This window comes from Homo sapiens, chromosome 13, assembly GCF_000001405.40.
Source record: "Homo sapiens chromosome 13, GRCh38.p14 Primary Assembly".
Classification (NCBI taxonomy): Eukaryota; Metazoa; Chordata; class Mammalia; order Primates; family Hominidae; genus Homo; species Homo sapiens.
In genome coordinates, this window is record NC_000013.11 from 27,969,576 (window position 1) to 27,991,404 (window position 21,829).

The window sequence follows — 21,829 nt, forward strand, 5'->3', positions numbered from 1 at the left end:
AAGAGAGGGGAAGAGAAAAGGCTATCTTGGTAGGAATCTGAGCTTGGAGACAGGAGCAGTGGTTGTTTATGCATTTGCAGGGAAGAGGGCGGTCAAGAAACTCCTTCTGTCCCAAAGAGAAAAGAAAAGAGAACCATTGCTTTGATGAGAACGTTTCTGACCAACCTGGTAGGTGACAAGCAGAGAGCCCTAAGAGATGGGCCATTCCTTCCCGCCCTGTGCTCCTGGCCCGGACGACTGCAGCCCCAAACAACTGTCACCTCCAGTTATTTTCTTGCCCAAGGAAATTACTCGCCCTCCGCACAAGACAAATTATGATCCTAGATTCAGGCTGCATCTCTGACTTCATCTTACATTTGAAATTTGAGTTAAATTCAAGCGATTTATTGTTAAACGTTTACATTCAAGAATCAGAAGTTTTAAACTACAGAAGTAATGGGCATGTGGTAGAAGTTAGGCTAGTGGTTATTGGCGTGCATAACTGGAGGCGAGCTAGGGGATCGTTGGTAAAGCAGTTTCTTAGGCTGCTGGTTACACAGAATGTCAGTTTGTGAAAATTCATTGAGCTACACTTGTATGTTTATTATACTTAAATATAAGGAAAAGAGAATTTCTGCTAATGCTTACCTAGGTATTTATGTGTCTTACATCATACCTGTATCTTTAAAACTCTCTGTCCTTTACAAAGGGAAACGTTCTCCGAAGAAATTTATTTCTCATTTCCAGGAGATGATAAGGCAACTCAGGGCCATTATTAACGACTGCTAATGAAAAGCTCTGAGTTGAGAAAGGATCTCTCTTGGTTTGGGAAGCGCTGCGGCCAAGGGGCCTAGGGCTGGAAGTGGCCGTCTTGGGGACCGAAGCCGCGCAGCCCGGGATCGGGAGCTGCCCCGACAGGAGCGCGGAGGCGGCGAGATTCGGCCCCCGCGCGCGCCCAGCTCGGTTTCAGCAACCGCGTGGAGTGGGCCTGCGGCCGCCGTTCACCTCCTAATACAAGCCTTTGACAGCGCTGCCAGATTCGGGAATGAGGATCACTGCGGCGAGGCCCGGCGGGCTGGGCAGCCTGACTCGGCGGCTTTGAGCGCTCTCAGAACCCGCGGGCGCTCGCGGCACTCCTGGAGACCTGCACTTGTCTGTTCTCATTGTCAAGCGTTTCGCTCGGATATTTGTCACCATCGCCTTCATCCTGTCATTTCTAGGGTGCTCTCCAGTGTCCTTTATCTCCCTTGAGCCTCACATCCCCCTAGGATCTAGAACAAAATCTGGGAGGTGTTTTTATCCTCCCCATTTTACAGGTGACAACCAGCAACTTGCCTCTGCAGACACCTGAAAGCGATCAGAACTAGCCTAGGGCTGCGGGATCCCCTGTTTTCTGGTTCCTCCCACCCTTCGTGTTTGTAAGGAAGAAGGCTGGAAATGGGGGTGGTGGGGTACTCAGGGGCCAAGGAGCTGTGCACTCAAGAGGTGGGAGACCGAGCTGGTCCTCCTGGGGGACTTCCAGCGCCTGGCCTGGACAGCCGAGTGTCATCGGACTTCCTGAGAAATACAACCGGAAGCAAATTGCAAACCCCGTTACAAAATCCGAATCATTGAGAGAAGGGCAGTAGGGGAGGTCCGCAGACCTGATGGGGTGGGAATGTGGGAGGTTAAGTGGTGGGCACTTCGAACTTTTGATCTAGCAAACATCTTCCTCCTCTTCCTGGAGACACAATTCCCCTTTCCATCCCCCATACCATCCCCGCTCCCAGGCCTGAGCTCTGGAAGCCGAGGCTGAGGCTCCAGCCTATGTCTTCGGAATGCGGGCATTCTTTGGAACAATCGCTTTATTAGGGACAGCCATTCCCTCCGCCCTGCGGTGGCCGCTTCCTGCTTTTTTATGGCCCAGGCTGCCGGCCGCTGGCTAATTGTCCCTGTTTTCCAGCTGTGTCTCTGTGCTGTGCCCTGAAGACGTGGCTCTGGCCTGCTCATCCAACTGCTTTGGGAGTGGCCAGGGCTGCTCTGGCCCCTCAGGTCAAGCCAGGCCTCAGAGCAGGCCAAGCCACAGGGAAGCCCGAGGCTCACTTGGAGTGCTCCAGCCATGGAAAGGAAATCATTGTGAACACGAATGTTTCCCTCATTGCAAAAAATGGGTCTCCTTAGCAATGGCATGGCACAGCTGTGGTCCCAGGGTCTAGACCTGTTCGGTGAGGGGAAAGGAGCTGGTAAATGATGTCCTCGGACAAGCTTCTTAGAATGTAAGCGTCCCCATACATCCTGGTTGCTCTCAGCCAGGAGAGGGCCCAGCTGGGTCCCTGAAAAGGCAGGGTTGTGGGAGCAGTCAGAGAGGGGTAGAAGGTGGCTGACAGAACTCTAGGAGCCTGGTTGTCTTGGCATTTAGACAGCCCTGGCCCCTAGCAGGTTGGTGCCCCATGACTGGCCTCTGGAGATTCGCTCTGCTCAGGGGCAGCCTCTCCAGCTTCTAAGTGCAGGCCTGTGTCCCTGGGAGGAGGCAGAAGCCACCCACATCAAGGCCCCATGCAGGGCTTTCTTAGTCCTAGGCCCCAGGTGCTTGGCGTCTTTCTTAGGAGCCTTTTGGCCTGCACTGAGAAGCCCCCAGGAAGGGACAGGGATGGTCATCCCTAACCCTCGATGCCAGAAGGGCCCTTCTACCCTGTAAGTCCTGCTGCTGGGCCAGAGAAGCCTGTAGCAACTCACTCTGGGAGAGGCAAACTTGTTTGGGAAGCTTGGGCCTGCGGTTGGCCTAGGGCTGAAACTGCAACCCCACAGAGCCAGAGCTAGAGCTGACATCTAAGGGCAGCAAAGGGTGGGGAAAAAAAGAGACCCTGGTAAATGAAGCAACAGTAAAACTGCAGGAGTGGCCACGATCAGGTTATCAAAAGGATGCCTCTGTTACTGACAGAGTAGAGGCCATTCCACATTCTTCAGAGAGGGTCCAGGCATGCAGGATCCTGGCTGGTGGCAAGGGCAGGGGCCACAAAGGGGGTGGGAAGCAGGAGGCTGTTGGAAGGGCGGGCTGCCCCTCCAAGCAGATGAAAAACTCCTGAAATCCAGACATCACTGACACAGCTCCCTCCCTGTTCAAAGGTCCTAATATTTGCTCTGACTAAGGGGACCATGCTCTGCCCGATATTTGTGGCTCCTGGAAACTGGGGAGCCCATTGGCTAACATAACCCAGTTAGGGCAGGCCATCTCTATCCACCTTAGTATGTAGGTTGACTTTCTGAATCTTTTTTAGATCAAGAAAATTGTCCAGCCAGGCACAGGGGCTCACACCTGTAATCCCAGCACTTTAGGAGGCTGAGGCAGGAGGATCACCTGAGCCCAGGATAGCAAGACCCTATCTCTACAAAAAAAATTGAAAAATTAGCTGGGTGTGGTGATATGCACCTATAGCCTCAGCTTCTTGGGAGGCTGAGGTTGGAGGATGGCTTGAACCCAGGAGTTCGAGGTTACAGTGAGTTATGGTTGTGCCACTGCACTGTAGCCTGGGTGACAGAGGGAGACCCTGTCTCTAAAAATTTTTTTAATTTGAAAAAAGGAAAATAAAACTATCCAAATAATATAGTCCTTCTATACCTTGCACAGGAAACTCTTACCTTGCATTGACCTGAATTCCAGGGATAATTAAGGAGGAGTGAAAAGGAAGAGAATGTCAGCTTTCAAAATTATTCAGCTTGGCCATCTATACTGATGTGGAAAAACAGCTCAATCTCTACTTAATTTGGAGTTTAGGGAGTCTTTCAGCCATTGCACTCAATCAGCCATCTACTCACACAAAGAAAGGCTCAATAATGGTTGGTTTGACCCCAACAACCCTGCCTTGCCCTGCCACAGCCCACTCAGCTAACATCTCTGGGAAGGAAATCAATGACATCGTCCTTTCTGTAGGGCCTCCGGAGAGTCCGCCACCTGTCCAGCCCCATCAGGCCACAGTGGATCCCAACATGTCCATCCTGAACAGCAGGGAGGGGCCGCAGCTGCCTACAGCCGCCCAGGCTTCATTCACAGAAGCAGATGTCTCCTTGCCCAGTGGAGTGAAGCATATTTTCTTCCCAAGCAAACTGGGTGTCTGACCCTCTCTACCTGAGGAAAGGTTTCTGAATTAATTGGGAGGTCATTGTGGGCTAACATGTTACCACTCAGGGACCAGGCTGCAGGATAATGGGATAAGAAAAGCCAGCTGTTTTACTCTTGTTGTGAAGAGACCACCAAGATTTCTGATCCAAGGCAGGGAACAACTTTTTTTTTTTTTTTATGCTTCTCTATCCAAAATATATTCTCACATCCAAGAGATCAAGGAAAATTAAGAGCCTCAGGAGAAAGGGTAATATTTGGGTACAGAAATCTGGTTTGGTACATTGGGTAAAAGTTAGGCAAATAAATAGTCGTTGCCCATTTTCTTCCTTTCTTCTGAAACTAGGGCCTGTGGACACTGGGCATTGTATAACACATTCTTTGTGGTGGGTGAGGACAGAGGATGATTTAAATCCACAAGAGGGAGTGACTTGGAGGTCTCAAAGATTGGTGTCCCTACTGGGAACCAGAACTTCCACCCCAAAGGAAACCTCTTGATGCTAGGAGCCCAGGCTCCCCGGGCAGCACCAGCCAACTGTTACCACGTGGCTTTGGCGTGGAGAACTTTCAATGAACATTTGTTCCCTCACCATTGTCTCGTGCCTGGAATGACCTTTGTTTGCCACATGAAAATATGTTCCTAGGAAGTCCTACAGGGTAAGTTTCATGTGGCTAAGGGAAGGAGCTTAAATAAAGGTTCTGCTCCTCTTGAGTTACTGTCCCATTGGCTAGCTACATTCCCTGGAGGGGAGTCAGGGGTCTTAAAGTCTGTGTAACCTTTCCATTTTACAAAGGTGAACCCAAGGCTCAGAGAGGTTAGGTGATTTTCCCCAAGTTGCACAGCTAGCTGTTCAAGTCCCTTAAAGTAAATGAGCTACAGTATGTGCATTCTTTGCAACCCATAGCGATCTGTATAGATGTTTATTATTACTACAGCTGCTGGTGCCACCCTGGCAACATGGCACCCCAAACACAAAACCAACTAGCACGATTAGAGAATCCCATTTTCCCACTCCCACCCCCTGCACCAAATAGCACCAGAACAATCAGGTTCTGCTATTGCTACAATTCTGACCATGCTCCAGGTCCTATGTCTTTCACAGGCACCCCATAACTGTGGTTTATTCATTTATTGCATGAATTTTCCATAAATTCCATCCCAGATTTTTCTCCAGTTGACAAAGATGGTATCCATCTACTTTTGTCTCACAGTAAATACTTTCTTAGAATAACTCCTCTTGGGCCGGGCGCCGTGGCCCACGCCTGTAGTCCCAGCACTTTGGGAGGCTGAGGCGGGTGGATCACGAGGTCAGGAGTTCGAGACCAGCCTGGCCAACATGGTGAAACCCCGTCTCTACCAAAAATACAAAATTAGCTGGGAGTGGAAGCGCGCGCCTGTAATCCCAGCTACTTGGGAGGCTGAGGCAGGAGAATCGCTTGAACCCGGGAGGCGGAGTTTGCAGTGAGCCGAGATCACGCCATTGCACTCTAGCCTGGGCGACAGGGTGACACTCCGTTTCAAAAAAAAAAAAAAATCAGTCAGAACTGATATCCTGTGGCTAATCTCTAGAAATGTGTCATATTTAAAATGGGTAAAGATCATGTATAGAATTTATGTTGCCCTTTTCCCTTTCTTTCCTTCCAATTTTAGTGTCTGTAGACATCTTTTGGGCACACAGACCAAAATGCCTACCTTTCTGGGTTAATAAAGAGGAGGCCCCATTCCGTATCCCAGTTAAGTTACACAGGTGAGTGACAAGCCCGGGTCGGCTCCTGAGTTCTCATCCGGAGCTGCGCTCTCCCGTCTCTTTACTGGGAGCGTTCTCCTGCCGGGGCTTGGACATTTCCAAGGGAAGTGAAAATCCACAAAGCTGCCCCCACTTCGTAAGGGCCTGTGCCTGGAGGGTCGTCGGGTTACAGAAATTGAAATCAGCTCTTTGCCTTCCAACTCTTCTTGGCCTTGCCACCGCGATTGGTTTTGTTTTCTTTGTTTTTAACGAATTGGTAAGTAAAATATTAGTTGTTCACCCTGAAATCTGCCCTAACCACTTCCGTACCCCCTGAAGCTCGCTGGGCGCGCCCTGGGCTGTCCTTCCCTGAGCAGCCGGGCCTAGAGTCAAGGCGCGATGATTGCCGCGCAAGCTAGGGTCCACGCGGCCGGGGCTCCTCTCCCGCCTCGGGCGCACCAGAGGCCAGAAAGCGGAAAGCGGCTCTGCCAGGCCAAGGCCGACAGAAACCGAGAGCATGTCGCTATTTGCCGGAGAGAACTGCCCTGCCAGGCTGCCACAGGTGACTTGCCCGCGCGAGCCACGGCCTCTGCGCAGAGCTCCTCCCGAAGGGGAGAGTCAGAGCCACCCGCGGGTTTGGTCGGGGCTCTTCCCAGCCCGGCGTCCACGCCCCGCGTCCTGCGCTCGCCCTTGCGGCTGCTTATGCTCAGGTGTTTCGGAAGAGGCGCCGCGCAGCCAGCTCTCTGTCCCTTCAGCTCCAGCTCCTTCTAAAGGGACAGACTCAGCGTCTGCCCCCATCTGCACCCCTTCCCGCAGGAATAAAATCATTTTCCGGACAAGCTTGGAACTGTTGAAATGTAACTATGTAATTGGAGACACCGGGGTCGTGTCTGGGAGATTCTGAGCTCATCTACACTCTTGCTAAACTGCGGGGAACCCAGCCCTGGTGGGATCTGTGCATCTCACATGAGCTTTTTTACATAAAGAGCACAGACGCTGCATTTGGGGCCTGGTTTATCTAAGCGTGGGGTTTACCCCCAGGCTTGGGACTGGGTGCCCCGAACACAGTGGATTATTCTGAGTCTTAGGCCCAGCCTTGGTATTTGGGTCCTGGGTCAGAAAATCCTCTTTACCAAGCAGCAAGTTATTGTGTGTGTCAGGAAATCCCCCAGGTTACCCTGGCTAGAGAGAGGCAGGTGTCTGGCCCAGGCCCAGCACCCCACCATTGTTGCAGGGTCCCAAAGAACAGGAGCGAGCCACGGAACTTTCTTCATGGTGTGCACTCGGCGCTCCTACACCCAGAGAAGGTGTCTGGCCACAAGCCTAGGGACGCTGGTAGCACAGCCCGCTTTCCTAACACCTGCCCCACTACCAGCTTCTATTTCCTTCAGCCTTACCACAGCAGGAAACACTGTGAGATGGGAACGGGAAAAGGGCTTCCTTGCCTAAAATTCCTAGTGCTTCAGGAATGATTTATTTCTATGGAACATCAGCCCCAGAACCAAGGGTGCAGCCACGCAGCTCTTTATGGAAAGGTTTCCTTGCTGCTGTTGCTGCTGCTGCTGCTAACCCTGGACACAGTTGGTGACTAATAGAAGCTCTTGTCTTCAAAAGGGCCACCTCTGGCCTTCGCCTATTACCTTGTCTTTGTTGGGGAGACCATGGGTGTTTCATTTCTCCTCTGCCAATAGAAGCCTAAGTAGTATTTGTTGGGGCTCTTTACACCTTCCCTGTGTTGGGGGGGGCGGGGGGGTGTCGACGGGTGGTAGAATGTGGTGGGCTCCTCCGCAGGATGCTAATGTACTTTCCCCCAGTGGACAGTCTGGCTGCTGGTACAGGAAGCTGCCCAGCCTAATAGGGGTCTGAAACTCCAGGGCTGACAAGCAAAGATTTCTATGGGCACTTCCCTCCATTTAATCGACACTGCAATCTCGCTTCATTCTGGGGTCCAAATACCCAGCGCTGCTCAATGTTACTATTTTAATAACTGATGGGTTTCCCGGGGCAGTCGAGCCACCCCCCCAAAGCCGACCTCCGGGAGAGATCTTTAGCTGGACGCCTCCCGCCTTTTAGGAGCGATGGCTGCAACTATTCCGTCCGTCCCCACGGGGCGCCTTCCCAACCCTTCGGTTGGCTCTTCCCTTCGCAGGGCTCTTCCCGGCCCACCGCCTCCTTCCTGCGGCTTCCCCGGCTCCCCAGGCCGGACCGAGGCCAGCGTTTGACTTTCCTGGCTCCCAGTCTGCTCCCCTAGTGCCCAAGAGCGAGAACACCGCTTCCGCTCACATGTAAAGGTCGGGCGCAGCAAATGAAGTGGGAAAAGAGAAAAACAGACAAACCGCTGTGGCATAAAAGATTCCTTTTCCGTCCGTTTTGCTTTGCAGTTCGGGCTTAGCAGGAGAGGGTTGGGGAGAACTGGATAAACGCTTTGGAATCCACAAAGGCCGGTGGTGTCGGGGGCCGCAAAGGGAGTGAAGAATTGAAGCAGTGAGCTGGATAAATCCGGGGCAAAGCACTAAACAATATGGATATTTTGGCAACGCGTGCGCGTGTGGGTGGGCGGACAAAAGGACTCATTACTCGTATGATTGCCTCAATTCTCCACTTCCTTTGTGCACGTGTGTGGACGCTGTTCCAGGCCCGAGTCCGCCTCCCGCCCAGGACGCACAGCTCCGGGCCGTGGCCCCCGCGCGTCCGGTTGTGCGTCCCGGGTCCCTGGCCCGCGCGGCAGCTACAGCTTGGCGGGGTCTGCGCGGAGGAGGTCGGCCAGGCGCAGGCTGCCGATCTTCTTCACCTCGCCCAGAGCAGTGCGCAGCTCCTGCGCGGACGGGCAGAGCAGCCGGCGCGCCAGCTCGCGCGGCACCGCCGTCCGGTCGCTGAAGCGCGCGGCGAGCACGAAGGGGAAACCGAAGCGCGCGCGGTACTGCGCGTTGAGCTCGGCCAGCCGCAGCCGCTCGTCCGCGCCCAGGCTCCTCAGGCCTGCGCCGCTCTGTTCCCGCTGCGACTCGGCCGTGAGCGTGCCCCGCTGCAGCTCGCTGCCCGCCAGGTCCGGGTGGCAGCGCAGGATGCCCTCCTGGCCTGCGGAGAAGCACAGACACCGGCGGGAGCGCGTCAACCGCGCCCGTCCCGCACCGCGCACTCGAGGGGGCGCGTAGGCCGCGCCCGGCCCCCCTGCCCCGCCCCGCCCCGCCCGGCCCCAAAGAAGGCTGCGGGAGGGTGAAGTAGAGTACCCAGGCGGTGATGTCCTGGCGGAACAGGGGCGCCCTTGGCGCGCCCCTCTAACAAGTCCTGGACCTTGCGCTTCTCGGTCCCCACTACATTCGGTCGGGACCAGGATCCAGGGGCGGGGCGGGAAGTGACACGTTTGTCTTTTGAGACCTTGGGTCAAGAAGAGCGGAGGAGAGAGAGGGCGGCCGCTGAGGCTCGGAATTTACGACTAGGTCGGGAGGGAGCAGAGACGCGATAAGGATCCTGAGCTTTTCCTATCTTTCAAAGTCCTTTGCTCTCAGGGGGGGCTTTGATGTCTAAAGGGGCCGGACGCAAGGGCCTGAAGACTTCCTGCAAAAGCTCTGGAATGGGTTTCGTTCTGCTCCAAAGGAGAACGGACAGGGGCGGGGTGCATCCATAGGGATAACATCCATGGGGCTCGGCAAATAAATGCCCTGGATTTTGTGACCCTAAGTGTGAGTTCTGGGTTTCTGGAATCAGGCATCCAAAGAGCCTTGCAGATGATTAACTGCAAAGAAACCCACCTCTAGCCAGAGTTCCACAGCCCTTTGAATGAAAGTGGCTTTCCTCTATTTAGGAAACTGCACCCACCCATCCCCCACCGGCCCGGGACTTATTCCCCTTCTCCGACTGTAGATCCCAGAGGCCCCAGAGAACAGCGTTTACTTGAAGGAAATCTTTGCATAATCTCCTAGGCCTAAAATTGAAAAACTCTGGCGAGTTACCTGTGATTTTCAGTCCCAGGGATTTCACGGAGTTAGCGCTGGGCAATCATCTTGCTCAGCTCTCTAAAGTGAAAATTAGAACCCTCGGGGCGAGGCAAGATTCCAGATATGGTGAGCAGGGCGCTATGATTTGTAAAATGCGGGTGACGCCTAACTTGCTTTAGAGTTGTGAGGATTAGAGACAATTCATTTACTTAAAACACATCGCCTAATACCTAGTAAACAGAAACAGTCATTATTAGTTGTAGTAAACCCAGTGGAACTGGACTGAAGTGCCTCAGGAAGTACCTGTCTCTGTATCTCAGTAAAGCGGTTGTCCGCCTCTGGCGCTGGGAATAGGCGTGGGGTCTGTTGGAAAAGGCGCGCACGTAAAACACCGTTCAATGAATTTTATCTCAAAGAAGCTGAAAATTAAACCCCCTGTAAGGTAGACGTCCTCTTCCTCAAACTTATTGTTTCTGTCTAATAAAAGGATGATTGATAGTGCACCATCTAACTCATGAACTAATTTCTCCCTGAAAGACACGGAGAACTGGGGGTAACATCCCCGTGTAAGAGAGGATTCAGTGAAGGCTGAAAAAGAACTAGTGACCTGCCTAGGGTCACTCACCACACTGCGCCTGGACCCTCTACTCCAAATCACAGGCGTTTTCAGGGCACGGCTGCCCCTGCAAGGTTAAGGAAAGTTCAAAACGAAAGTCATGTCACCTATAATCCCATCCCTCTAACACCACTGTTTTTTGTTTTTTGTGTGTTTTTTCAAGACAGCTCTGTCGCCCGGGATGGAGTGCAGTGGGGCGATCTTGGCTCACTGCAACCTCTGCCTCCTGGGTTCAAGCGATCCTCCCGCCTCGGCCTCCTAAAGTGCTGGGATTACAGGTGTGAGCCACCGAGCCGGCCTAACACCACTGTGATAGAGCCCTTCTGGTAGGTGTCCTGCCCCTCGGGCACTGCAAACAGGAACGGGTCTTTCCCGCTTCCCGCGTCCAGCTCCGTCAGGGTAGTGCGAAAATGTGAGAATTAAATTCCCCACCTGGGGGAGCAGCCCCAGCCCTGTGCCCGGGGTTGGTCGTGCCACGCGGCCACTTGTCAGGCCTGGGGAACCGAGCTCAGCTCCCGCCCGGATCCCCTCCGCGCTCACCCAGGCCCAGGACGGTAACCTGCCCGGGCTGCGGAGGAGGGGAAAGTGCGAGTCTTGGGCGGCTGGACCTTCCGCGCCTCCTCTTCAGGTGTTCGGAGTTTCAGAGCAGCCGCTAGGTCCCCCGCCCAGTCAGGGGACTTCCCTCCCCACCGTTGCATGCTGTCTGGAGGATCAGCCCAAGCTGCGAGGGAGGTGGTCACTGGTGGGAGGTCCGGGCGCGGGGTCTGTCGTCTTGCCGCCCCCACCAGGCTCCCCGCGCAGGCCGCGCAGCAGAGGGAGGCGGCGGCGGCGTCCCGCCAACGTGGCGTACCCCGAGCCCCCTTCTTGCCCTTGGTGCCCTCGCATCTCGCTTCTCACTCTCTAGAGTTTGTCTCCCGCTTGGAAACGTCGCCCGGGGTTAATGTTTGCCTAGAACTGAGCACGAGTTTTCCACTCTTGCAGCGCGAGAAGAGAAAAGACGCAGATAAACTAGCAGAGCAAAGGGCAGAAGAAAAGAGACTAAAAAGGAGAAACTAGAATTTACTCTCTGTTTCAGTCGCTTCTCTCTCTCTCTCTCTCTCCTCTCTCTCTCTCTCTCTCTCTCTGTCTCTTAGCTGCGCCTAACAAGAAAAAGGTGTGAGGAATCAGGTAGAGGATGGTAGCTCGGAAGAAACAGAGCCTGACCTCACCTGGCCAGATATCCAATCTTCATTGCCCCAAACCACTGGACCCTTGAGTAAGTACATCGGGAATGGTGTCTATGTGTCCACTGGCCTGCAGCAAGGACCCAGTTCCCTGCCAGCGCCAGTATGCTATCCCTAAGCTGTGCCCATAAGCCCCAGTGGGAGGCTGGATACTGGGCAAGTAGGTGCCATCTCCTTGCCTCCAGTCCTCAGTGTTCCCCACCTGGAAGCCCAGGCGCTAGGCAGGCCAGTCAGACAGCCCGTGGTTCTCAGGGAATCTAGGTACTGCCCGTTCTTCAGTCTTTCTTGAAAATCTGGACTTACCTCCTAAGCATTGGTGTGTCACGTCTAGAGATGTAGGTGTGGATGTGTGTTATTTGCCGGGACCACAGGACCTGAATCTTTACACCTAGAAGAATTCCTGGCACAGAGCAGACACTCATTGTTCTATGGGAGAGGAACAGGGCAGGCAATTGTGGCCATGGAAGCTCAGAATCCCGTAACAGTCCAACTGCCTCCTGGTCCATACCCAGTGGTATCTGGGTATGTTCTTACCCCTGGTACGATGGACAATCTTCCTATGGAAGGCCAACCCCTCCATTTGTGTTCTTGAAGCTAGCTCTCCTTTCCTGTCAAAGACTTTGCTTCTGCAATTTCAAATATCTATTTCTCCATCCCCACACCACTTACCCTTATCAATGTGCAAACATGCCTTAGAATCCCTCATCCCATAAACAATATTAACGTTCTCCCTTGATTCCCTGTTGCTCTCTTGTTTCTCCCTATTTCTCTGCTCCTCCTTACAGAAAAGACCTTAGAGTTGTCTCCTGGCCTCTCCACTTCCTGACCTCCCTTTCCAGGCTCACTCTGTCACGTTTCGAGCCACTGTACCAACTGATCTGCACTCATTAAGGGCATCTTGCCTGAGCCCAAAGACCAATGCCTGACCTCTTCTTTCTCAACCTCTCCAGACCATGTCACCTGGTTGGCCCTCTCTCCTTAAAAAATGACTATAAACGGCCGGGCACAGTGACTCATGCCTGTAATCCCAGCACTTTGGGAGGCCGAGGCGGGTGGATCACCAGGTCAGGAGTTCGAGACCAGCCTGACCAACGTGGTGAAACCTCGTCTCTACTAAAAATACAAAAATTAGCTGGGCATAGTGGCACGCGCCTATAATCCCAGCTACTCAAGGCAGGAGAATTACTTGAACCCGGGAGGCGGAGGTTACAGTGAGCTGAGATTGCGCCACTGCACTCCAACTTGGGTGACAGAGCAAGACTCTGTCTCAAAAAAAATGACTACCACTTACCTTCAGAGACATCCTTTGCCTACTTTCATCTTGCTCTGCCAGATAGGTCACTAGCACTAGTACCACAGGACTCAGTACCCACATCTCATCCCTTTGTTGTTTACACCAATGTACTTACTAAGTGCCCTCAGCCAGTCGTAGGGTTTGAAATGCCATCCATTCTTTGATGACAGCAAGATATACTTTAGCCCTCAGTGTTTCACCAAGCTCCTCTGTTTTGATGCAACTGAGCAGTCAGCATTTTCATCTGGATGATTTTTGGGTATCTTAGACTCAGCAAGCTCCTTCCTCCATCCTGTCTTCTCAACTCTAAGTCTTCCTCAACTCGGAAAATGGTACCACCACCCACCCAGTGGCTCAGACTGAAAACTTAGGAGTGACCATTCAGCTCTGTTTCTGATCTGCCTTCTGTCATCAAATCCATTTAAAAAAATCCTGTTGACTCTAACTGTAAGCCCTATTCTGAGAATCCATTCGCATCTCTCCATCTCTACTGCGCCAACCACAGTCCAAGCAACCTCAACTCTTACTCTTACTACTGCAGTGGCCCCTCGACCTGGCCCCCTGCATCTGACATAGCCCCCACATCACCATCCTAAAGCATAAACCCCAGTGACCCATTGCACATGGAGAAGCAAGTTCCTTATTAGACCTAAGCAGCTTTACATGATCAGGCCCTTGCTGCCTCTTCCTCACATCCCTCTACTCCTTACTATTTTCCAACTACCTTGATCTTTCTGTGCCCCAAAAATGTCGAGTTCATCCTGGTCTCAGGTTCCTTTGCTTTTTTTTTGTTTTTGTTTTTGAGACAGAGTCCCATCCTGTCACCCAGGCTGGAGTGCAGTGGTGCGATCTCGGCTCACTGCAACCTCCGTCTTCCGGGTTCAAGTGATTCTCCTGCCTCAGCCTCCCGAGTAGCTAGGATTACTGGTGCGTGCTACCATGCCCAGCTAATTTTCTATTTTTAGTAGAGACCGGGTTTCACCGTGTTGGCCAGGCTGGTCTCGAACTCCTGACCTCAAGTGATCCATCTGCCTCATCCTCCCAAAGTGCTAGGATTACAGGCATGAGCCACCACGCCCAGCCAGGTTCCTTTTCTATGAGTGGCCTCATCCTAGATTTCAGCTACTTATTTCTCATCCTTTGGTCTTAAACTTAAATTAACCTCCTAAGAAAGACCACCTTTATTACATATTTTCTGCCATATTACATATATTTTTTCTGGGAATTTCTAGAACCTGAAATAATGGTATTTTTAATGTTAATCCTGTCTCTCTTCACTAGAATGTAAGCTCATTTAAGGCAAGGACTTGTCTTGGTCACTACCCCGTTCCCAGTGCCCACAACAATCCCTGGGGCACAGTGGGCACTCAGTGAATATTTTTTGACCAACACAGCACTTTTGGTAAGGAGTGTTTCATTTTGTTTTGTTTTGTTTTGTTTTCTGAATAAACAAACACATTTTAATAGCTTGATCCAAAACCCTCATAGCCTGTATTATAAGGAACTTATTAGTATCCAACTCCATTCATTCAACAAAAATGTTGTTTAGTAAGCATAAAGTAATAAATTGTGGCATTACTATAATTCTGAAAGACACAGAGATGCACTTTGTTTTTTTTGTGACAGGGTTCTCGCTCTGTCATCCAGGCTGGTGTGCAGTGGTGCAATCATGGCTCACTGCAGCCTCAACCTTCTGGGCTCAAGCGATCCTCCCACCTCAGACTCCCAAAGTGCTGGGATTACAGGTGTGATTCACCATAGCCAGCGGAAATGCACAGTTAATTAACTCTTATGAAAGTTGTATTGCTCTTTAATTTCATAACACAAATCCGTCCTGAATTTCTTCAGTTAGTGCATGTGAGTTTCAACTTTCTTCCCTTTACTAATTGTCCGTTCTCTTTCCTAGAAAACCTTTGCCTCATCTTTAATCTGTGGGAACTGATTGGCTGGAGAAGGTACTTTGCCCAATAGCACTAGAGCTCAATATTAATCCTGGACTGCCACCTACTGGCCAATAATCATCATAGCAGAACCTAAATGGACTCGCCCTTAGTCTAGAAACCCAGTTTTGTTTTCTGTTAATGGTGGAGGTTTTTCTTCAGTCACCAAAACAAATACATGACTAGGTAGACCACTGTAACTTGAACGTCTCTCTAAGGTACCTTCTTTTTAGATTCAAATAATCTATTTCACCCAGTTTGCTTCTTACTATTCAAAGGGTAAAGCTAGACTGTAATAAATCCCATTTTAAGGCTGGGCGCGGTGGCTCACACCAGTAATCCCAGCAGTTTGGGAGGCCGAGGTGGGCGGATCACAAGGTCAGGAGATTGAGACCATCCTGGCTAACACGGTGAAACCCCGTCTCTAGTTAAAAAATACAAAAATTAGCCGGGCATGGTGGTGTGTGCCTGTAATCCCGGCTACTCCGGAGGCTGAGGCAGGAGAATCGCTTGAACCCGGGAGGCGGAGGTTGCAGTGAGCTGAGATTGTGCCACTGCACTCCAGCCTGGATGACAGAGCAAGACTCCATCTCAAAAAAACAAACAAACAAAAGCAATTTTATTGGATTTTTTGACAAATAAAAATTATACATGTTTATGGTGTGCACCTTGATGCTTTCCATATATGTATACATTGTGAAATGATGAAGTCAAGCTTTTTAATATATCTATCACCTCACATATTTATCATTTTTTGGTAGTAAGAACATTTAAAATCTACTCTCTTGAAGGTGGGGCAAGGTGGCTCATGTCTGTAACCCCAGCACTTTGGGAGGCCAAGGTGGGCGGATCACTTGAGGTCAGGAATTTGAGACAAGCATGGCCAACATGATGAAACCCCATCTCTACTAAAAATAGAAAAATTAGCTGGGCATGGTGGCAGGTGCCTGTAATCCCAGCTACGAGGGAGGCTAAGGCAGGAGAATCGCTTGAACCCGGGAGGGTGAGGATGCAGTGAGCCAAGATGGTGCCACTGCACTCTAGCTTGGGTGACAGAGTGAGCCTCTACCTCAATTAAAATAAAAAATAAAAAAGCCTACTTTCTTGGCAATTTCCAAATATACAATAGATTATTATTGACTATAGTCACCAAGCTGCGAAGTAGATCATTTTATTTGATTATTTAAACAATAAAACATGGGGTCTAGGACATCAAGCATTTATCTTAATCAAATACATTAGTGGATAAATGAATGAAAACCCTAAAAACTGTTTCTAGACTTTGTTTCTCATTGTCTGGAAAAAGCCTTCAAAACCTGTTGGGTTGACTCTCAGGGTTATTAGAATTCCAGTCCTGCCACTTTCTAGTAGTGTGTCCTTGCTCAAGTTACTTAATCTCTGTGTGCCTCAGTTTTCCCATCGGTAAGAATGGGAGCAATAATAATACTATTCCTCATTTTATAGGGATATTAGAGGATTGAATGAGTTAGCAAGTGCAAAGTTTTTGGAAAAGTGCCTGAAACACACCAGTAGTAAAAGTTCAATACATTTTAGCTATTTGTTGTTGTTATTGTCACCATTGATAACATCACTTGTCTACTGTTACTGAGATGTTAAGATGAGGAGCTGCCGCCAGACAGCAATGAGGCTCCCAGCTGCTCCCAGACAAGTGCAGAACCGAGAAGCAGCCTCCACCACAGGGAGCTCCTCCCCAGAACCGTGTCTACTGCAGACACCAACAACCGTCCAGGGGGCCCAAACTCCCTCCAGCCATTTTGTCCACTGACCTACCACTGAGTCACCCAGTTAAAATGTGTGGGGAAGGGGGTAATGCCAGAATTCCCACTTTTCAGTATCACCTTGGAAACGATTTCATGCATTCATTCAGCAAACTTTGATTAAGTCCCAACATCCTGTTCACTCTGTGATCTGGGATTCTGACACTAGCCAGGAGACAGAGGTTTCATCAAGTCACGGGGGCATCAAAACAAGCCTCGGGAGCGGGGGTTGCCCACGTCCAGTGCTGCCCACACTCCACTATGCTCAGGGCCCTGACTGGACTGACCCGGAACTAGAACCTCTGGCCAGCTGGATTGTGGGGAGTGTTGGTGAGCAATAAGATGAAAATGGAGAAATTGTTATGTTTTTATCAAAGTTCCAGACACAGAGTAAGAAAGCCCCCAAAACGTGTGTTAAGTAACTGGCCAAACCCAAGAACAATAGATCTAAATTATTCACGCGATCCTAGCTTTCTCTCTCAACACGCTCCCTCCTCAGCCTCACCACTCCTTTGGGTATTAAGACAATCAAAGGATATGCCTCTCTTTTTTTTTCCTGTAAAGAAATTACTTTCCAGTGAGGCTGTCATTTTGCCTCCTCTATTCTATTTTCCTGTCAGACATTGAGAGGGTGGGCTCCGGGGCCTCCTGCTCCTTCCGGCCTGCCCTGCAGGAGTTCAGCTGAGAGGCTGTGGTCCCTTCACTCATCAGGCTGGGACTGGGCTGTCCCTGTGAGTCAAGGGTCAGAAAGCTCCAGTGATGACCCCCAAGCCCAGTGGAGGAGCTGAAGTCCTCAGCTATGGAGAGGCCCCCAGAAGTGGGTGAGTGTCCACATGGCCCCAACATTCCTGTCCATTTGATTTTATGACATCCTCTGCTCTTCCTAGATAAGCCTCAAATGAATGAAAAGGAGCTCCTTATTTTGGAGACGTCTGTATGACGGTCAGAAGCCATCTGGCTGTCAAAGGCCATCCTGATAGGCGGCATCGTCTGTTGGCTCCTTTTTGGTGAAGAGAGCAGGGGCTCTCCTTCCCCACCCAGATGTCCACAGAGGCCTCTCTGCCCCTCGCCACCCCTTCAGTACATTTCAGGTTTCTCCACAGAGCATCCAGGACAGCCCCTGAGGCAGCCTGGTCTCTGTGAAGCTGTGTGTGTCATTCGGAGTCACCCCCTCTTCTCCTCACCCCACACCAAGAAGTGCCTCATTTTCTCTCTCTCTCCACAGAAGAAATCAGTAACTTCTTTCCCTTCCTCCAGAGGGATGCCTTCAGATTCTCCTCCTTCCCCTCCATCCCTCAGGGAGTTGCTGATCTGAATGAATTCACTCTCCTCGGCCATCCAGTCCAAACTGGCCCTTTGTGGTACAAAAGTCAGCCGATTGCCCTTTCCCCTGGGCTCTGGAGATAGTCTGGTATCCAGCTGTCCTCTCTGTCACATACAGGACATTCCCAAGCCAGATGGGGTGGCTAAGACAGGGTGGGCCCTCAGCCTAGCCTTTAGCCTCCGAATCACTCTGATGTCTTTTGCTAGGTTCCTCCTTGTGACCTCAAAGCTCTAATATTTAACAGCCACTTTCCTTAGCCACCGCATTCTTCCAGTCCATGTCTGACCTAAACCACACAAGTGCTTGACTCTTACGGACTAGACCTGAGGAAACTTACTGAACCTTCCAAAGGAAAGAACTCAATAAACACATCAAGTATAAGGAATTAGACTAAAATAGATAGATGATAGATAGATAGATAGATAGATAGATAGATAGATAGATAGATTTTTAAAAACAACTTTTTTTGTTGTTTTTTGTTTTGTTTTTTGAGACATAGTCTTGCTCTGCCACCAGGCTGGAGTGCAGTGGTGAAATTTTGGCTCACTGCAATCTCCGCTTCCCAGGCTCAAGCGATTCTCCTGCCTCAGCCTCCCGAATAGCTGGAACTACAGGCACGTGCCACCACGCCTGGCTAATTTTTTGTATTTTAGTAGAGATGGGGTTTCACCATGTTGGCCAGGATGGTCTCGATCTCCTGACCTTGTGATCCACCCACCTCGGCCTCCCAAAGTGCTGGGATTACAGGCGTGAGCCACCAACACGCCCGGCCTAAAAGCAATTTTTGTAGCAACAGATCTCATCATGTTGCCTAGACTGGTCTCAAATTCCTGGGCTCAAGTGATCCTCCCATCTCAGCCTCCCAAAGTGCTGGGATTACAGGTGTGAGCCACCATTCCTGGCCAGTATCTAAAAATATTTTAACAAGCATATTTGAAATCCCTTTGCAGAGAATGTCTGATACGGAAGCCTTACCTGACTGTGCAAGGGCATCAATAAAGGCAAAAAAGTGCTTCTCTAAATCTTCCAAATCAGAGAATGGCCGCTGGGACCAAACAGCAGCTGCAATCAGAGGACATCTCTCAGTGGCATTCCCAAACACATCCACGAATTCTCCAAGGTCCATGGAGTTGACCTTCTCAATGTCCATTCCTTGTATTCCACTGGAGACAGCGGGACGTCCAGCTCCCCTCTCGGTGAGTGAGTGACGCTGTCTCGGCTCACTCGGTTATATCTGCTGAACACAAGAGCTTGCTGTTTACGCAACACCACCTTCGCGTGTTTTAAATGCCTTTGGGAGAAGCAGATCCAGAATACTTGTGTAATGAACAAGCACAGGCTTAAGGTTCTAATCCAGGGAGCAGAGATCTCTGCATGGTCAATGTTTCCAACCAAACCATTCCCATAATCAAAGGCAGCAGGGGCCATATTTCACTCTAAGCATTAGAGCCAGATTTGTTTTTCATGTTGTTAGGCTTTTTTTTTTTTTTTTTTTTTTTTGGTGTCTAGCTCTGTCACCCAGGCTGGAGCACAGTGGTGCAATCTCAGCTCACTACAACCTCCACCCCCTGGGTTCCAGCGATTTGCCTATCTCAGCCTCCTGAGTAGCTGGGATTACAGGCATTTGCCACCACATCCAGCTAAGTTTATGTTTTTGGTTTTGTTTGTTTGTTTGTTTGTTTGTTTTAGTAGAAACAGGGTTTCACCATGTTGGCCAGGCTGGTCTCGAACTCCTGACCTCAAGTAATCCACCTGCCTCGGCCTCGCAAAGTGCTGGAATTACAGGTAATTATTATATTGTTATTATTTGAGATAGGTTCTGCCTAGGTTGTCCAAGCTGGAGTGCAGTGGCTATTCATAGGCACAATCCCACTACTGATCAGCAGTGGAGTTTTGACCTGTTCTCTTTCCAACCTGGGCCAGTTCACCGCTCCCTGGGCAATCTGGTGGCTCCGGTCTTCCTGGAGGACATCAGATTGATGCCGAACTTGGTGCAGTCACCTGATCGGCAGAGCGCACTACAGCCCGGAACTCCTGGACTCCAGTGATCCACCTGCCTTAGCCTCCCGAGTAGCTGGGACTACAGCCGCGTCTGGCTGTTATTAACACTTTAATGTCATCATCACCGCAGGACATTTTCCCTGATAATTTAGCCAGGTCCACGGGTCAACCCACTTGGAACTTGATTTCCTAACTATTGTTATTGCTGCTGTTAAGGACAGGTACTATGTTTTTCTCAGTCTGTGTATGCCAGATGCTTAACACAACAAGTACTTAATAAATGCTCATTAAGCAGGACAAAATGTCTAAGGAATAATTCTGCCCCATTCTCAATAGTCTCTCAAACCCCATTAGGAGTTATTTTCTTCTTGAAAATATCTGTGTCTATGTTGCTTCTTGTATGTATTTACTTGTATGTCGGTTCTCAGCCGGGACATATTCCAGAAGCCTGGAGACCAGTGTGTCTTGTTGCCTCTGTATCCTGGCTGACAAGAGCTGTGCCTACGGTAGGCATGAAAGAAGCACTATGGGATGAATTGGTTGGCCAGTTAGCTAACCACATAGATTAGATTTCACGTACTAATGTCTTCCAGGTATACACAAAACAAAATAATGTGCCAGGTAAAGTCAAAGAAAAGAAGGGGTCAGAATTGACAAATAAACACATTACTGCTATCTCCCTTTAGAACTACAAATGCAAACATTTCCCAAAGCCATACCAGTTACACATTTGCTTTCATTTGAATAAAAAATCAATGAACCAGGTAAGGTGGCATGTGCCTGTAGCCCCAGCTACTCAGGAGGCCGAGGCAGGAGAATTGCTTGAGCCCAGAAGGTCCAGGCCAGCCTGGGCAGCATAATGAGACCTTCTCTCAAAAAACAAAAATTCAATGAGAGAACAACCATATTAGGATTCATAAACCAGTCTCATGTGCTCCTATGGTCTGTGAAAGGCAAACAACAACCGTACCCATGTGATCTACCAGCAGCCATTATTTTCGTCCTAAGTCTACAGACTCTTCCCCAGCTGGCACCTCTCCTTGACTACCTGGCCCATCGGGTCAGGACTAACCAACCGAGCCCTCATCTCTTAAAAAGTAGCTGCTAAAACTTGCTTTTCAAAGGGGATAAATCTGGTGCCAGAAGTTCCAGCATGACTGGCCTTCTATTGAAATATAAGGAAAGAAGGGTTAACACTTCTACAGTGTATACCTCTGTGTGCGTATATGTATAGGTATATGTATAGGTATAGGTATAGGTATAGGTATAGGTATAGGTGTAGGTGTAGGTGTAGGTGTAGGTGTAGGTATAGGTATAGGTATAGGTATATGTATAGGTGTAGGTGTAGGTATAGGTATAGGTATAGGTATAGGTATAGGTATAGGTATATGTATAGGTATAGGTATATGTATAGGTATATGTATAGGTATAGGTATAGGTGTAGGTATATGTATAGGTATAGGTATATGTATATGTATATGTATAGGTATAGGTATAGGTATAGGTATATGTATATGTATAGGTGTAGGTGTAGGTATATGTATAGGTATATGTATATGTATATGTATAGGTATAGGTATATGTATAGGTATAGGTGTAGGTATATGTATATGTATAGGTGTAGGTATATGTATAGGTATAGGTATAGGTATAGGTATATGTATATGTATATGTATAGGTGTAGGTGTAGGTATATGTATAGGTATATGTATATGTATATGTATAGGTATAGGTATATGTATATGTATAGGTATAGGTGTAGGTATATGTATATGTATAGGTGTAGGTATATGTATATATATAGGTATAGGTATAGGTATATGTATATGTATAGGTGTAGGTATAGGTATAGGTATAGGTATAGGTATAGGTGTAGGTATAGGTGTAGGTATAGGTATATGTATATGGAATCACGC

The 21,829-nt window shown here is 49.7% G+C and overlaps 1 protein-coding gene, 1 long non-coding RNA gene and 1 pseudogene across 4 annotated transcripts, besides 3 other annotated features; 1 reads left to right on the forward strand and 2 right to left on the reverse strand.

Moving 5' to 3' along the window:
- Positions 1,743–2,390: an enhancer, noted in NCBI's record as "OCT4-NANOG-H3K4me1 hESC enhancer chr13:28545455-28546102 (GRCh37/hg19 assembly coordinates)". NCBI's record gives its function as "activates a minimal SCP1, AML or CMV promoter by ChIP-STARR-seq in primed H9 embryonic stem cells {active_cell/tissue: H9 hESC(primed)}" and the evidence as "EXISTENCE:reporter gene assay evidence [ECO:0000049][PMID:30033119]".
- Positions 2,391–3,037: an enhancer, noted in NCBI's record as "H3K4me1 hESC enhancer chr13:28546103-28546749 (GRCh37/hg19 assembly coordinates)". NCBI's record gives its function as "activates a minimal SCP1, AML or CMV promoter by ChIP-STARR-seq in naive and primed H9 embryonic stem cells {active_cell/tissue: H9 hESC(naive and primed)}" and the evidence as "EXISTENCE:reporter gene assay evidence [ECO:0000049][PMID:30033119]".
- On the reverse strand, positions 8,142–19,118 carry URAD (ureidoimidazoline (2-oxo-4-hydroxy-4-carboxy-5-) decarboxylase). Of its 2 annotated transcripts, none has more exons than NR_197241.1 (2): positions 9,030–9,089; positions 8,142–8,877 (listed from the first exon to the last, which is right to left on the reverse strand). NR_197241.1 is itself a non-coding variant. In NM_001105577.2 (2 exons), the coding sequence occupies exons 1-2, from the start codon at positions 19,060–19,062 to the stop codon at positions 8,531–8,533; spliced, it is 522 nt and encodes a 173-aa protein (NP_001099047.1). In that variant the 5' UTR covers positions 19,063–19,118; the 3' UTR covers positions 8,142–8,530. The 2 variants fall into 2 exon arrangements, 1 of the variants encoding a protein (NP_001099047.1); NM_001105577.2 differs by lacking the exon at positions 9,030–9,089 and adding an exon at positions 18,888–19,118.
- Positions 9,054–9,587: an enhancer, noted in NCBI's record as "OCT4-NANOG-H3K4me1 hESC enhancer chr13:28552766-28553299 (GRCh37/hg19 assembly coordinates)". NCBI's record gives its function as "activates a minimal SCP1, AML or CMV promoter by ChIP-STARR-seq in primed H9 embryonic stem cells {active_cell/tissue: H9 hESC(primed)}" and the evidence as "EXISTENCE:reporter gene assay evidence [ECO:0000049][PMID:30033119]".
- On the forward strand, positions 10,580–20,210 carry LOC105370132 (uncharacterized). 2 transcript variants are annotated; one of them, XR_941790.2, is made up of 4 exons: positions 10,580–10,679; positions 11,487–11,608; positions 18,863–19,108; positions 19,836–20,210. It is a non-coding gene; the product is annotated as an uncharacterized LOC105370132 (long non-coding RNA). The 2 variants fall into 2 exon arrangements; XR_941791.1 differs by lacking the exon at positions 19,836–20,210 and adding an exon at positions 14,777–14,825 and having other exon boundaries at positions 18,863–18,920.
- RN7SL272P (RNA, 7SL, cytoplasmic 272, pseudogene) lies at positions 19,721–20,009 on the reverse strand (annotated as a pseudogene).
- Positions 20,211–21,829: the final 1,619 nt, after the last annotated feature.